Genomic DNA, 14,079 nt, shown 5'->3' with positions numbered 1-14,079 from the left:
AGTTTACTTGAAGTGTGTTTTTTTTTCAACTTAAATTTTAAAATACTATATTTGATTTTGGCCAGAGTATTTTGAACAAATGTTTTAAGTGTGAAAATTAAAGTCAATGAAAGTTTAAATTTCTGCAAGTTGTTCTGATCAAACCAGTCACCCAAAATGCTGTATTAAGTCATGCTCTATACTTCTGCAGCACAAAGCCTTGAAAGGTACTTAGTGTTTCTTCATATTTTTATTTCTCTTGATGGAGAAGGGTTCTATTTTCCTCATAAAAATAGTAAAATTAATAAAAATTTATACAATACAGAATTAGATATGGGGGAAAAATCAAATAACCAAAAGCCCCTTTTACCAGTTGTGATTCATTATGTGCTATAGCAATCTATAATGTTCCCCAAAGGAGAATCTCTGTTAGAAGTTTAATAAATATCTTTCCAGATTGTTTTCTATACATTATATATATGTACACACGCATGCATACACACACAGGTTTTTTTAAACATAAAATTATGTACAACTTATTTTCTCTTACAGTTAAATCTTGGAGACTTTGTCATTGTTAAATATATTGCATAGCACTATGATTTATTTAAGTTTTCTTATTGATGTACATTTAGGGTTTACAGAGCTTTGAGGATTCTCAAACCAAATATTATTCTAGAATTTTTCTCTCTATGATGATTTAAACCAATGTTTAAAAGCCCGGTTCCAGGAATTTTCTATAACAGGTGCACATACTTTCAACTGTATTCAGAGAACCTCAGGTTCTGTAGAGCTTTTCTCACCTATGCTTTGTTCTCTTTGAGTTTATGGATATATATATGTATGTATATTTTTTTCCTTTATTGTTCTAGAGCATCTTTGCCATCACTAAAACAATGGACCTTGAAAACAGGTTTCTCTATCAGTAAAGCAGAAAATGTGCTTTTAGTAATTTAAAATGATACATGAATGTGTGTTTCTCAGCATCGCAGTTAGAGATAATTGTTTTGGGACTAGGAGAAGTAGTTTATCCAGTGTCGATCATAATCTGAGTAAGAGGGCTATGCATATTAACCAGAAACTTTGATAAGGGAACAACTTCATAGAATTTTTTAAAGAAAATTATCCTATTTTAGATGTCTAAGTGAACATTTGTGTGGGCAGATTTTCTTATCGCTCTCATGAAGTTTCCTTAAAAAAACAACATTTCTAAGTAGTGAAAGGCAAGGAAATTCACTTAGGTATAAAGTTTGCTAATTTACCAGCTGGATGCAACTCACTCGATGAATCTTTCTTAATAATTATGTATCTCTGGAGCATATAGTCTTACTAAAGAATATTGTCTTATGTATTTTAAAATGATAATCTGACTTGATTATGTTCTTTTTGTTTCTTTCCAGAAAGTATCTTTATGTCACATCTTCTTTTAAAGGAGCATTTAAAGATGAAGTTAAAAAGGCAGAAGAAGCAGTAAAGATTGGTATGCGATTACCTGTAGCCTACATCATTGTTGTTCAGTCATTCAGCAAATGTTAATTGTGCACTTATTTTGAGACATACATTGCTCTAGGCATTGTAGGAGCTACTACAATTAATTAAATGTAGTTTCTGTCTCTATGGAACTTCAAAACACATTCTTTCCATCTCTGAGTTTGTTTACTCATGATATTAATTATTATTATAAGTATGATCCTGAACACACTTCAAACTAGATTGATATTTGTTAGAAACCTTGTTTGTCTGTCTGGGCATGGTGGCTCACACCTATAATTCAAGCACTTTGGGAGGACAAGATGGGAGAATTACTTGAGGCCAAGAGTTCAAGACCAGCCTGGGCAACATAGCGAGACTGTGTCTCTATTTTAAAAAATAAAATAAACTAAGAAACCCTGCTTGTCATAGCACTGTGTTAGGTCATTTTAGATCCCTGCACTGCATCCGCTTTAAGAAGGATGTTCTCAAGGCGGGCGGATCACGAGGTCAGGAGATTGATACCATCCTGGCTAACACGGTGAAACCCTGTCTCTACTAAAAATACAAAAAGTTAGCCGGGTGTGGTGGTGGGCGCCTGTAGTCCCAGCTACTCAGGAGGCTGAGGCAGGAGAATGGCGTGAACCTGGGAGGGGGAGTTTGCAGTGAGCTGAGATCGCGCCACTGCACTCCAGCCTGGGTGATAGAGCGAGACTCTGTCTCAAAAAAAAAAAAAAAAGAAGGATGTTCTACATATTCACTCCTCCTACTGCAGGAACAAAACTCTCTTCCCTAGTATCTGGGAGTGAGTAGTAGCTCTATATCCATATTTTGTGGATTTTAAAGCATTTTCTGTCAGCTAAAAACTCATGACTTCTGAATTTATATTTGTATATTTATGTCCTGTAAATTGTCATACCTAAATGAAACCCCAATAGAAGGAAAATTTAACATGTGTAAAAGTTATAAGAGGAACATAGGGTTTTCTCAGATCATGGTCTGTATGCCTTTTTCACTGGTCATGCTACATGTATAGAAAATACTCACTTAAAATTGCTTGAAATAATTTTGCTGTGTTATAACTATTTGGCTTCTACTTCCAGCTGAATCCATATTGAAAGAAGCACAAATCAAAGTAAACCAGTGTGACAGAACCTCTTTATCTTCTGCCAAGGTACGACATGTAAAGAGAGTAGTCTTATTAAATGGCAAATTGTGTCATTTGCTTTTTCCTGTGCATAGTTGTCTCTTATCATCTACTTCCTAAACTTTTAAGCACAGATAAGCTCAGAAGATTAAGTTGATTTTAACTCAGGTAAACAGAATAGATGAGTTCAGAGAAAGGAGAGGAAACTCAGCAAGTCGGGGCAAGGCTGAGGCAGAGAGAAAAGATGAACAGAACATGGGGTGAATTTGAAATGGTGGGGAACAGCATCACAACCCATTTCTTTAAAATGGAAAGGAAAGTAACAGGAGAAAGGGAAAAAATAATGAAAAGCCAGCAGAAGAAAAAACTAGCCTATCGAGTCTCCTTGAAAATATCTATTCAAATTAGAGCTCCCTGTGGACCTAAATAAATGGGGAAAGGAAGGAAAGGTCTAACAAGCAATCCTTCTTTCTAGTGCTAGGAATTATATACTGTAATTATGAATATTAATAAGAATGCTTCCAGCTTACAAAGCTCTTTTATTATGAGTTTCTCCACACAGTTCATAAACATTCTTTGTAATTCTTAACAATATGCCCATGAGTAAGATAAGTTAAAAAGAACTATTATTAATTATAATGCATTGCAACTAAGAGAAAAAGAATATTGCTACAAGACATGTAAGTTTGCTAACTTTTACCAAAAATATGGTATGAAGCTTTAAATGATGGTGAATGATTAAGCAACATATTTATTTGCTTACATACAAAGGGATAAGTAGGAATATGGAGGTAAAATGCCTTACTTCACCTTCTCTTCATCCTCTTCTACAGACTGAATATATGAATCCTTTCAGTGATTTTGCCATTTGACTTTCCAGGACCAAGGCTGTGTCTGATAAAGACCTTTCATATCTAAGGTCCTGAGTAAGGGATGACATCAAAGAGTAGCTCGTGGTAATGCCCCAAAGTTAATTCTATCCATGGCTTGCCCCAAATTCTCTTAGTTTTTTTTTTTCATTTTTTTTTAAATTAAGGGTAAACCTATCTTATTGTTATTGATCATTGATTTTTAATAGTTTAAGCTTTTTAAAATTTTGTTTTTAAGAAATCATTTCCCTTTGCTTTGTATGTTTGAGAGTCCAGAAAAAGACTAATGGGTCAGGACCTTGCTTCCTTTTTGCCTTCTGCTGTTTCTTCTCCCTGCCTCTGTTCTGTGCTCTGGGGGCACTGCCAGGCAGGGTGGGGAAGTCCTTGACCAATTTGTCCTGTTGCTCTGATGCACTCTGGTTTCTTTAAGGCAGAGAAGAGAGCAAAGCAGAATGACCTGAACTTTTGACGTCTTAAATTCTTATGGGAAGATGAATTTTAAATGGAATACTTGCCAACCATTTTCCACTTTCTTTTACTTGAAATTCAGTGAAAATAGTGTTCATTCAGTAGTATGCCATACATCAAAAGACATACCCACCTTTCACCTCAGGTGAATGAAGCATGTTAAGAGGCTATTCTTATGCCTGAGAACAACAATAATGAATTATTCCTCTTCTGCTTGGTTAGAGGGAGCATACCAGATTTAGAGTAGTGAATGAGTTGGTATATCAAATCAAAAGTTTAATAAGAAAGGTAACTGGGCATGGGGTATCCTATAAAGGGAAAGTTTGAGAAATATTAGAGGTATCCAGAATTCGATATGAAGGAGATATTTTCTGTTGGCTACTAACAAAATTTCTCAATTATCTTTTTTTTTTTTCCTGCAAAAACACTTCGTGGTCACATAATTGAGCATTTATTGTTCTCACAAACAAAAGTCAGAGCCTGGGTACACTAAATAACTCACCCAAGTTTTCATGTAGTTTTTGTCAAAGCCGTTGTGTCATTATAGAGAATAAACTTTCTTTCTCTAAAAGGCAGAGAGGATATCTGGATATGTACAAAAGAGAATAGTGGGTTAGGATTTGGTTTATCTTCTAAAGTATTGGAACTGAATAATTTATCAAGTATTGAGAATCTATGATGGTAGAATTGCATTAGGTAATGTGAGCTATTGTTACCCTTGAAACATTTGGATAATAGGATAATATCAACTTGCTTTTTGTTAATTCAGTGGCATTATGTTCTCTCCCAACCAATGCATTTCTCCAGGATGTATTACAGAGAGCTTTGGAAGATGTAGAAGCAAAGCAAAAGAATCTTAAAGAGAAACAAAGGTAAGACACAAGGTTTTCTGTTTGCAGGAATCCTCTGTACTCTGTTAAAACAAATTCTGGTTTCTAAGTAGGCAGATTTAGTGGTTATTGTGACAATTTTTTTTCAGCTTGTGACATCTTATAATCTGAAACCTAATATAGTCAAGTTCCCACAACCAAGATAAGCAATGTAAAACATTGATAAAGTATATATTTGCACGTACACGTGTGTCTACATAATGTTAAAACTTCCAAAAAAAAAGTGAAAAATTAGTTCAGCATTTAATTGGGCTAGATGAAAATGTCTGGATGAGGAAGTGAAAGTGAACTGCCCGGAGGAACAGCTGATAACTCACTTTCCTTCTGTGTCATTTGCCATTTAAATTCTGGAGAGTTGGTTCCAGTTTCTTCCCTTTGTCTAGTAGCTTAAAATTTAAGATAGGAAATAATGTTTCACGTGAATGTATTGCTTATATATCGCTAAAAATGAAAATAGGAAGGATATGTTAACAAAACCAAATATTTACATTTGTAAGATGAACTTGCTCTCCAACTCAAATGCTGAAGAAGTTAAACTTAAAATAATCACTGCTGCCCACATAAGATCAGACTTTGAAAGCTGTGATACCTTTGTGAAACTATTTTTAAGGGAAATATGATTAGTTCTTAACATTATTTTTCGTGAACCATGCACTGACATTCAACCATAACTTTCCTCAAAACTTAAATTTTAAATGTAAATTTTGCATTTATCAAAATAAATAAATGTGAAATGTTACTTATGCATTTACTAGAAAAATGTAAATAAATGTCATAGAAATTGTAATTTAAAAACAAAGCCCTCTCTAAGGTCTTTAGAAATAAAAACCTTCTTGAAACAAGTTCACTGTATGAGATGGTTCATACAGTGAAATGTTTGAAAAGTGACCAATCAACACTTCATTAATAATAATGCCAGTTGCCATGAACTTGTTTTAATGGCAAAATGCTGGGTTTTTTTTAATAGAAGAATATCAGTATATCCTTTAATATTGTAGAGTGACTATGTCGTATCCTGTAATACCCTATTTAGGTATCCCTTATACAGTCAGTACTTTTGTTGAATATCCTTTTGGGATCTCATTACTGAGTAGTGATTTTTGAGAAAAAGTTTGATTCCTATATATTTAACCTTAGATATACATGTGTTTAATAAATATATAGTATATTAACTCATGTCTTATGTTCTATATATATATATCATATCCACATGGAAGGACTGATAGAACTTTATCATTGTTCTTTAATGATAGATGCATTTAATTAGTCCAATAAGTATATTATGTCAATTATAATAGCACGTGGTCATAAGCCTGAAAACAAAAGGCCAAGTTTGTGGAGAGAGGGGAGCTACAGGGTAAGTGCAGGAGAATTATTTTTGGTGTCATTCTTGATTGGGTAAAGAAAATAATGATTGTTATATACCTAATCTGTTCCAGGCTTATATTTAACATTATTTCTTTTAGTTCTTATGACATCACAAGTGGCTAGGTAGGTATTACTCCCATTTTTCAAATGAGACAGAAAGTTTAAGAGGCACCATCCATGGTCACATGGTTATTACAAAGACAGGCTTGTATTTGAAACCAGGTGTGCCTCTCACATCCAGGCATTTTCATAGCTTCCAGCAGCCTCTGATATTACAGGTGTTTATATCATAACTCCTTACCATAGCTGTTTTTATCACATTTTGGTATTTCTCAATTTCTATTTTACACTTTTAATAGAAAACTCACACAAAACATAATATAGAAGGTCAGTCAGAAAAACAGGAGCTCATCTCTGTTGCCCTTGTAAACTTGCTTTATTATAATAACTTATTTACCTTGTATTTTGGAAAGGGTTAGAGAGGAAGCCAGAGAATATCTTTTGGCACATTCCAATCTATGTAGGATATCTGGAGACTTGAGAACATGCTGAAATTTAGAAATCACATCTACTGTTAGAAATACCTAAAATTTAAAATAGCCAAGTCATCATTTTGTAAAAAATGCTGCAATGTACCTATACGACCCGTTAATATTTCAGAACTCTTTTAGCATTTTCTAGTTCTTGTAAATTTAAATTGGCAGATGTGTTTTTGAATCAGTAAATCCTTTGTTTGACTGGCATAGTTACTGGCATCACGTTTATGCAGAATACTTGGCTATACAGAGACAACTGAGTGTGCCTACCAGGTTTTGCAAAATATTTGGATATATGCCTTTGACGTTAACCTTCTAGTTTAATTATTAGCAGTTTCCTAAACTGTGTATGTTTATTTAATAAACAACTTTTTAAACTTTTTAAATGTAACTCTAGAGAATTAAAAACAGCAAGAACGCTCTCCCTGTTCTATGGAGTGAACGTAGAAAACCGAAGCCAAGCTGGAATGTTCATTTACAGTAATAACCGTTTGATCAAAATGCATGAAAAAGTGGGCTCACAGTTGAAACTGAAGTCCTTGTGAGTATGTTTTTGCTTTCAGAGATATAAGCAGAGAAAGGGATGTTACAGTAAGATTCTGTCTGTGGAGTGAGATGAGTGACTAATCACAATGGGAGCAAGTGTCATAGTCTCTGTTCACCCTTCCTGTTGAAGTGCAGGCATTAATCTGCCTCATTGATAGTATCAGTGAATCTGCATGCATGCTCTAAGGAAAAAGCACACTTTGGGAAATTTTTTTCAATGCATTTATTGAACAACTTGATGTGGGGCCATTCCTTGTGCCACCTCTTTGCCATAAATTTTTAATGCTTTACCAATTTAAAAATAATACGAGCTTATTAAATACATTTTAGAAGAGAAGGAAAAGAAAAATCCATAGTCTTGTAAAGCAACCCTACATGTATGAGTTCATGCCAGTTAGCTTCATGATCATATGTTATTAAAACTCTCTAGCCTATTTGGATTTTAGCGTAATACATTCTTGTGCTTTCCCAATGGTCTGAAACTTCTCAAGCTGCTTTCATCAATGATGTAGAGTCCTGAAGAGACGCACAGAAAAGGACAGGGTCAGACAAGGTAATCATGACCAATAGAATGGGTCAGGGAGCATTTACTATCTTGCTTCCTCACTCTCAAGGAATTAGCAATTCATTCATTGTTTATTTAACAAGCACCTATAGTGCAGCATTGTATGCCAGGCACTATACTAAGCTCTGCTGATAAATGCTCCTTTTGCTAAGGAATGTATAGTCCAGTGAAAAGGACAAGCATATAAATGCATATTTTTTATATTGTATGAAAATAACAAGAATGATCTTATAAAACCTAGATTATGGCTGGGCTCAGTGGCTCACGCCTGTAATCCCAGCGCTTTGGGAGCCCGAGGTGGGCGGATCACGAGGTCAGGAGATCAAGACCATCCTGGCTAGCACGGTGAAACCCCGTCTCTACTAGAAATACAGAAAATTAGCCAGGTGTGGTGGCGGGCACCTGTGGTCTCAGCTACTCGGGAGGCTGAGGCAGGAGAATGGCATGAACCCGGGAGGCAGAGCTTGCAGTGAGCCAAGATTGTGCCACTGCACTCCAGCCTGGGTGACAGAGCGAGACTCTGTCTCAAAAAATAAATAAATAAATAAAACCTAGATTAGTTGGATTTCTTGCTTAAATCCCAGTGTACTCAGAATAGAACTGCTTGCCATGGGCTTCCAGTTATCTGGCCTCTGATTGGCTGTGGGACCTCACCCCCTACTAATACCCTACCCTCTCTGCATTTCCTGTTTCTCAGACCTCCTAAGCTCACTTCTGCATTGAGACCTTGGGACATGCCATTTCCTTGGCCTTGAATCTTCTGTTCTCAGATTTTCTTACTGCTGGCCCTAACATGCCATTCAGCCATGAGCCTAAAGTATTCTCCACAGGAAGGTCTTCCTTGACTGTCTAATTAAAACTGGTCCATTTCCTTCCCCACCACCTGTCACTCTTCACATATCACAGCACCTGCATTATGTTCCTCACCCCACTTATCACCATCTGAAATGATCTTGTATATTTATCTGTTTATTAGCTTCATGCCTGCCACCCTTCGGTAAAAGAGAAACTTCAAAGCCAGGGGGAACCTGTATTTCTGGTTCTCACCATATTCTTAGTTCCTGGAACAGGGCTTGGTGCTGAGCTTGAATGAATGAATGAATGTTATGTTAGAGGTGAGCATCCAGTGCAAAAAGAGCATTTAGGAGGGGCAGTAGAGCAAACTGGAGAAGTCAATTTAGGCCTTCTAGAAGAATGAAGCCCAAATTTAGACTTAGAGAATGAATAGTGAAAGGAAAGCAAGGTGGAAGAGTGAAGTGGTAAGAAAACACTATAGGCAGGGACCCCAAATTGTGAGGCTTTGACACATGTGCCGTGCAAAAGGCAGTGGGGAGCCCTAAAGGCTTAGACAGTGGTATGCTCTTTGCCAAAGCAGGTTATGTCACCAACCAGATTTCCAGTGAGATCCTCATGGATAAGCCAACTCTGTGATTCCTTCATAGAATTCACTGAGCACCCCAAGGACCTCTGCAATGAAGAGGAGAAATCCAATCTGTTAGATGAAATGCGGAGAAAGAAAGGGGTTCTCTGGCCACTGTCATTTAGAAGATCATGCCCTTTATTGCAGTAAGGCACCATGGTTTTTAATGTCAAAAGGCCTTGCCTTCCCACCCACCCTCACTCTCCACGTAAGGCGATAGATTTGTAAAACGAGTCGTATTAACTCTGTAACATTGTGCTAAAGTGATTTTTTTATTATGGGACCAAACATGTTGGGATCACCACAGACTTATGATAACATAATTAGCTAACTTGTTAAACTTTGACATGGTCCAGATCAACAGAATGAATTTATTTTTGAAAAAAAAAATGATTTCAAATGACCAGAATATATTTGATTTTTTTCTTTAGCCAAATTTTCAAAATTTAAATATGCATATATTTTCTCAGACTTGGCGCAGGCGTGGTTGGAATTGTTAATATACCCTTGGAGGTCATGGAACCATCCCATAATAAACAGGAATTTCTCAATGTCCAAGAGTATAATCATCTACTAAAAGTCATGGGACAGTACTTGGTCCAGTACTGTAAGGACACCGGCATCAGTGAGTATTCAATAGTCATAGTAGGAGATACTTACAGAGGGATTACTTTCTGTGATTTCTTTAAGCTGACATGATTATCTGAATTCAGATTACCAGCAACTGAAAACTCTGAAAGGGAGCTCCTGCTTTAAAAACAGGAGTGAGAAGGGAGCCCATTTCAGAATCTTTCCCAGACTGTCGTGAAAAACAAAGCAGCAGATTAGAAATTGCAAGGGAATGGCAATCAGAGAACAGAGTGAGGTGGCAGCTGACCATGGTGGAAGGAAGCAGAAGATTGCTCCAAATAGACTGAGAAACCCTGCTCTGGGCACTGGGACTCCACTGTGTGAGAGCACATAGTCCCATGCAGACCTTAGTAGCTCTTATAATGTTGTTATGTCATACCATGGAGTAAAAACTACTGACCCTGGGTAATTGTAGATATGTTAAACTTTTTTTTTTTTTTTTGAGATGGAGTCTTGTTCTGTTGCCCAGGCTGGAGTGCAGTGATGCAATCTCGGCTCACTGCAACCTCTATCTCCCTGGTTCAAGCAATTCTCTGCCTCAGCCTCCCGAGTGGCTGGGATTACAGGCACCTGCCACCACGCCCGCCTAATTTTTGTATTTTTAGTAGAGACAGAGTTTTACCATCTTGGCCAGGCTGGTCTTGAACTCCTGACCTCGTGATCCACCCTCCTCGGCCTCCCAAAGTGCTGGGATTACAGGCCTGAGCCACCACGCCTGGGCAGATATGTTAGACTTTGTTTTGCATAGTTAAAAATTCTTGAGTATGTTAATTCCAGAAAGATTTCAATTAAAAATTTCTAAAATAAATACATCTGGAAACTTAAAAAGATAAACTTTAGTTATCTGAAAAATGTGATTTATTTAGATCACCTCACTCCTCAGAGACACCTGAACAATGAGATTATGTGCTGTGTATTAATTAAACTTCTTTTTGTTTTTCAACATATATTTTAGAATCAAGGTGTACATGTACAAGGTTGTTACAGAGGTATATTTTGTGATGCTGAGGTTTGGGATATGACTAAACTTGTCACCCTGGTGTTGAGCATAGTACCCAATAGGTAGTTTTTCAGCCCTTGTCTCCCTTCCTCTCCTCTTTTATATTCCTCAGTGTCTATTGTTTCCATCTTTATGTTCATGTTTACCCAGTGTTTAGCTCCCACTTATAAGTGAGAATATGTGGTATTTGGTTTTTTTTTTCTGCATTAGTTTGCTTAGGATAACGGCCTCTAGCTGCATCCATGTTGCTGCAAAGGACACAATTTCATTCTTTTTTATGGCTGTGTAGTATTCCATGGCATATGTGTGCCACATTTTCTTTATCCAGTCCACTGTTGTTGGACACCTGGGTTGATTCCGTGTCTTTGCTATTGGAAATAACACTGTAATGAACATACATGTGGGTGCATGTGTCCTTTCGGTAGAACAACTGAGTTTCCTTTGAGTATATACCCAGTAATAGGATTGCTGGGTTGAATGGTAGTTGAAATCTTAGTTTTTAAAGAAATCTCCAGACTGGTTTCCATAGTGGCGAGACAAATTTACATTCCCACCAACATTGTGTAAGTGTCCCTTTCTCTCCACAGCCTGACCAACATTTTTTTTTTTTTTTTTTACTTTATAACAAAAGCCATTCTGACTGGTGTGAGATGGTATTTCATTGTGGTTTTGATTTGCATTTCTCTGGTGATTTGTGATGTGGACCATTTTTTTTCATGTTTGTTGGCTGCATGTATGTCTTCTTCTGAGAAGTATCTGTTTGTGTTCTTTGCTCACTTTTTAATGGGGTTATCTTTTGCTTGTTGATTTCTTTAAGTTCCTTATAGATTCTGGGTATTAGACCTTTGTCAGAGGAATAGTTTGTGAATATTTTCTCCCATTCTATAGGTCGTCTGTAAATAAACTTACTTTTAAATTAGGCAGACATAGGGCTCCATTTATGTCAAGAAATAGAATATCATGTATTCAATGATTTGGGTGAAGTATGTGTAATTCATGTACATTAAAAATATGTCTCTACCCTTGAGTCAACTTAAAATCTTCACTTGAAGTTGTAATTTTAGAATATTTTCTTTCCATTTGTATCCATCCTGCCGTACCTAAAACTTTCTCACCAGCAAAACGGAAAAGCGTAGGAACTCAGTGGGAAATTATGAAAGGGGAAATGAGGTTGAGGGGACAGATTTCCTGCCGAAGCTGAGTTTTCATGTCATGGTCTAAAACATACTCAGAGTGTGTTCTGTGCACTAATATTATCAACATCACCTGGAACTTGTTAGAAATGCAGAATCCCAGGCCCCACCTGAGACCCACTGAATTAAAATCTGCATTTTTACAAGATCTCCAGGTGATTTATATTCACAATCAAATTTGAGAAGCACTGCTCTGAAGAGTATACCTATGTAATTTTTCCTGGGATAGGCATATCTTTTTCCACATGTATTTTTTTTTCAGAGACATGTATGAAGTTATGCTAAACATGAGACTCATTACATTGTTTGGCAAGGTTTGCTTAAAGCTGTAGAAAACGTGTAAGGTATAAATATCAACATAAACATAGTGAGGTTTAACTCAAACATCTACTCTCTGGTCTTTAACTGCTAGTATGACATGGTACAAAAGGAAAACATTAAGCATTTGAAAATCATGAACCTCCCCATACTCCTCTTGTCTTCGCTGTAATCCGTTCCTTGTCTTCATCCTTAGAAGAAAGAATTAAGTCTTCAGAAAGAGGTAGGCATTAGATTTAAAGGTCATAAAAATTATTTCCATCTAGGTCACACTTAGGAGAGTCATACTCAGTCCTCTTTGTGGGTGGAGCTCTCTCGAAGCCCCTTTGCTTGGTGTGTGGGTACCCTCCCAACAGTTGTACTCCCAACTACAGGGTATCATTTGCTAGCCCCCACTCCTTACCTAATTCCCTGTCCTTATCTAATTGTTTCTCACCTTCTACCTAATTGTTTCTATCTACCTGTTTCTTAACCTTTTCAACAGATATAATAGGGTTTGAAATAAATATATTTGTGTTTTTATTATTATTGTTTGATAACATATTGTTTTCCCAATTCCATAGTTATCTATGAATTGATAGAGGGCTAGAGGATACTGTCACAAAAGATGTTCCTCTAGAAGGAAGGTAGAGAGTAGAGGAAGGATAGCAGGCATGTGTATTTATTCACATATTTCACTTCATCCTCAAACTTCATTATCAAACTAAATCAAGTAATCAAGGTCAGAATTGGTAGTTTTAGTAATTTGTAAGGAGAATGACCTTCAAGGTCTTTGCCCATTAACTCCCACAGGAATAACCAAAGTTATATAATATTTGACTATCTGAAAACCAGTATTACAGGGCACACAGTTTTAATGAAAAGTATTTAGGTAGATTTTTTTGCCTTGTAAATAAAAGATGCAGTCTTAATATTTGCTGAAAGTCTGATGTGTTTTTAGGGAAAATTGGGTCCTTGTAAAAATCGAATCAGCAAAAAGAGAAATGGAGAGGTAATGACTTTGTGTCATTTATCAAATCTACATTTACTTTTGGCCCAGCTGATGCTAACAATCTCAGAAATATTTTCCTTGTCTCTAAGTCTGACTTCACCTCACTGTCTGCTACTATGTTTTCTGAAGCTTTATACATCCTTACAATAAAATAGAAATATTAATCATCAGCTTTGGGGAGTAGGGAGAGAAGGATAAATAAAAAGTGGGGAGAAACAAATGAAATTTGGGTTTGAACAGGAGCAATTATGAAAAATTTATTATTAAACTTTTCCAAAATGGATCAGAATTGAGCTGATGTTTCCCAGAAGAATTCAAATCATAGTTCTTCAGTTGGCAAAGAGGGTAAAATTCATTTAGCCTAGTCACCTTTAATCCGCTCACTCTCACTGCCGTTTTAAGACTGAATGCAGGCCACCCGTGAAAGGAAAACTGCTCCCTCTTGAGGCAGCCCATGAATTTGCACAACACTATTAAAAAAATACATAAATCTTCATATTAAATCCAAATCCATATCTCATGGGTTCTTTCATTCAACTATGCTAGGCACAAGTGTTCTAGGACCAACAAATCAGACATGGTCTGTCTTCTCTGAGAACTTACAGTCTAGGGTGGTGCTATGGTCTGAATGTTTATGTCTCTCCTGCAAATTCATGTGTTGAAAATCTGACCCCCAGGATGATGGTATT

General features: G+C 36.5%; 1 protein-coding gene across 11 annotated transcripts in view; it reads left to right on the top strand.

The window, feature by feature from the left end:
- Positions 1-14,079, top strand: part of MORC1 (MORC family CW-type zinc finger 1) — a 159,887-nt gene that overhangs the window by 53,524 nt on the left and 92,284 nt on the right. For all 11 annotated transcript variants that reach the window (NM_014429.4, XM_005247362.3, XM_047447968.1 and 8 more), the window contains 5 exons: positions 1,380-1,459; positions 2,553-2,623; positions 4,741-4,805; positions 7,125-7,268; positions 9,729-9,883. In NM_014429.4, coding sequence (NP_055244.3) covers positions 1,380-1,459; positions 2,553-2,623; positions 4,741-4,805; positions 7,125-7,268; positions 9,729-9,883 — 515 coding nt within the window. The remainder of the gene's footprint in view (positions 1-1,379; positions 1,460-2,552; positions 2,624-4,740; positions 4,806-7,124; positions 7,269-9,728; positions 9,884-14,079) is intronic.

This window comes from Homo sapiens, chromosome 3 (genome assembly GCF_000001405.40).
Source record: "Homo sapiens chromosome 3, GRCh38.p14 Primary Assembly".
Taxonomy (NCBI): domain Eukaryota; kingdom Metazoa; phylum Chordata; class Mammalia; order Primates; family Hominidae; genus Homo; species Homo sapiens.
This window is presented reverse-complemented; position numbering and strand designations above follow the sequence as displayed.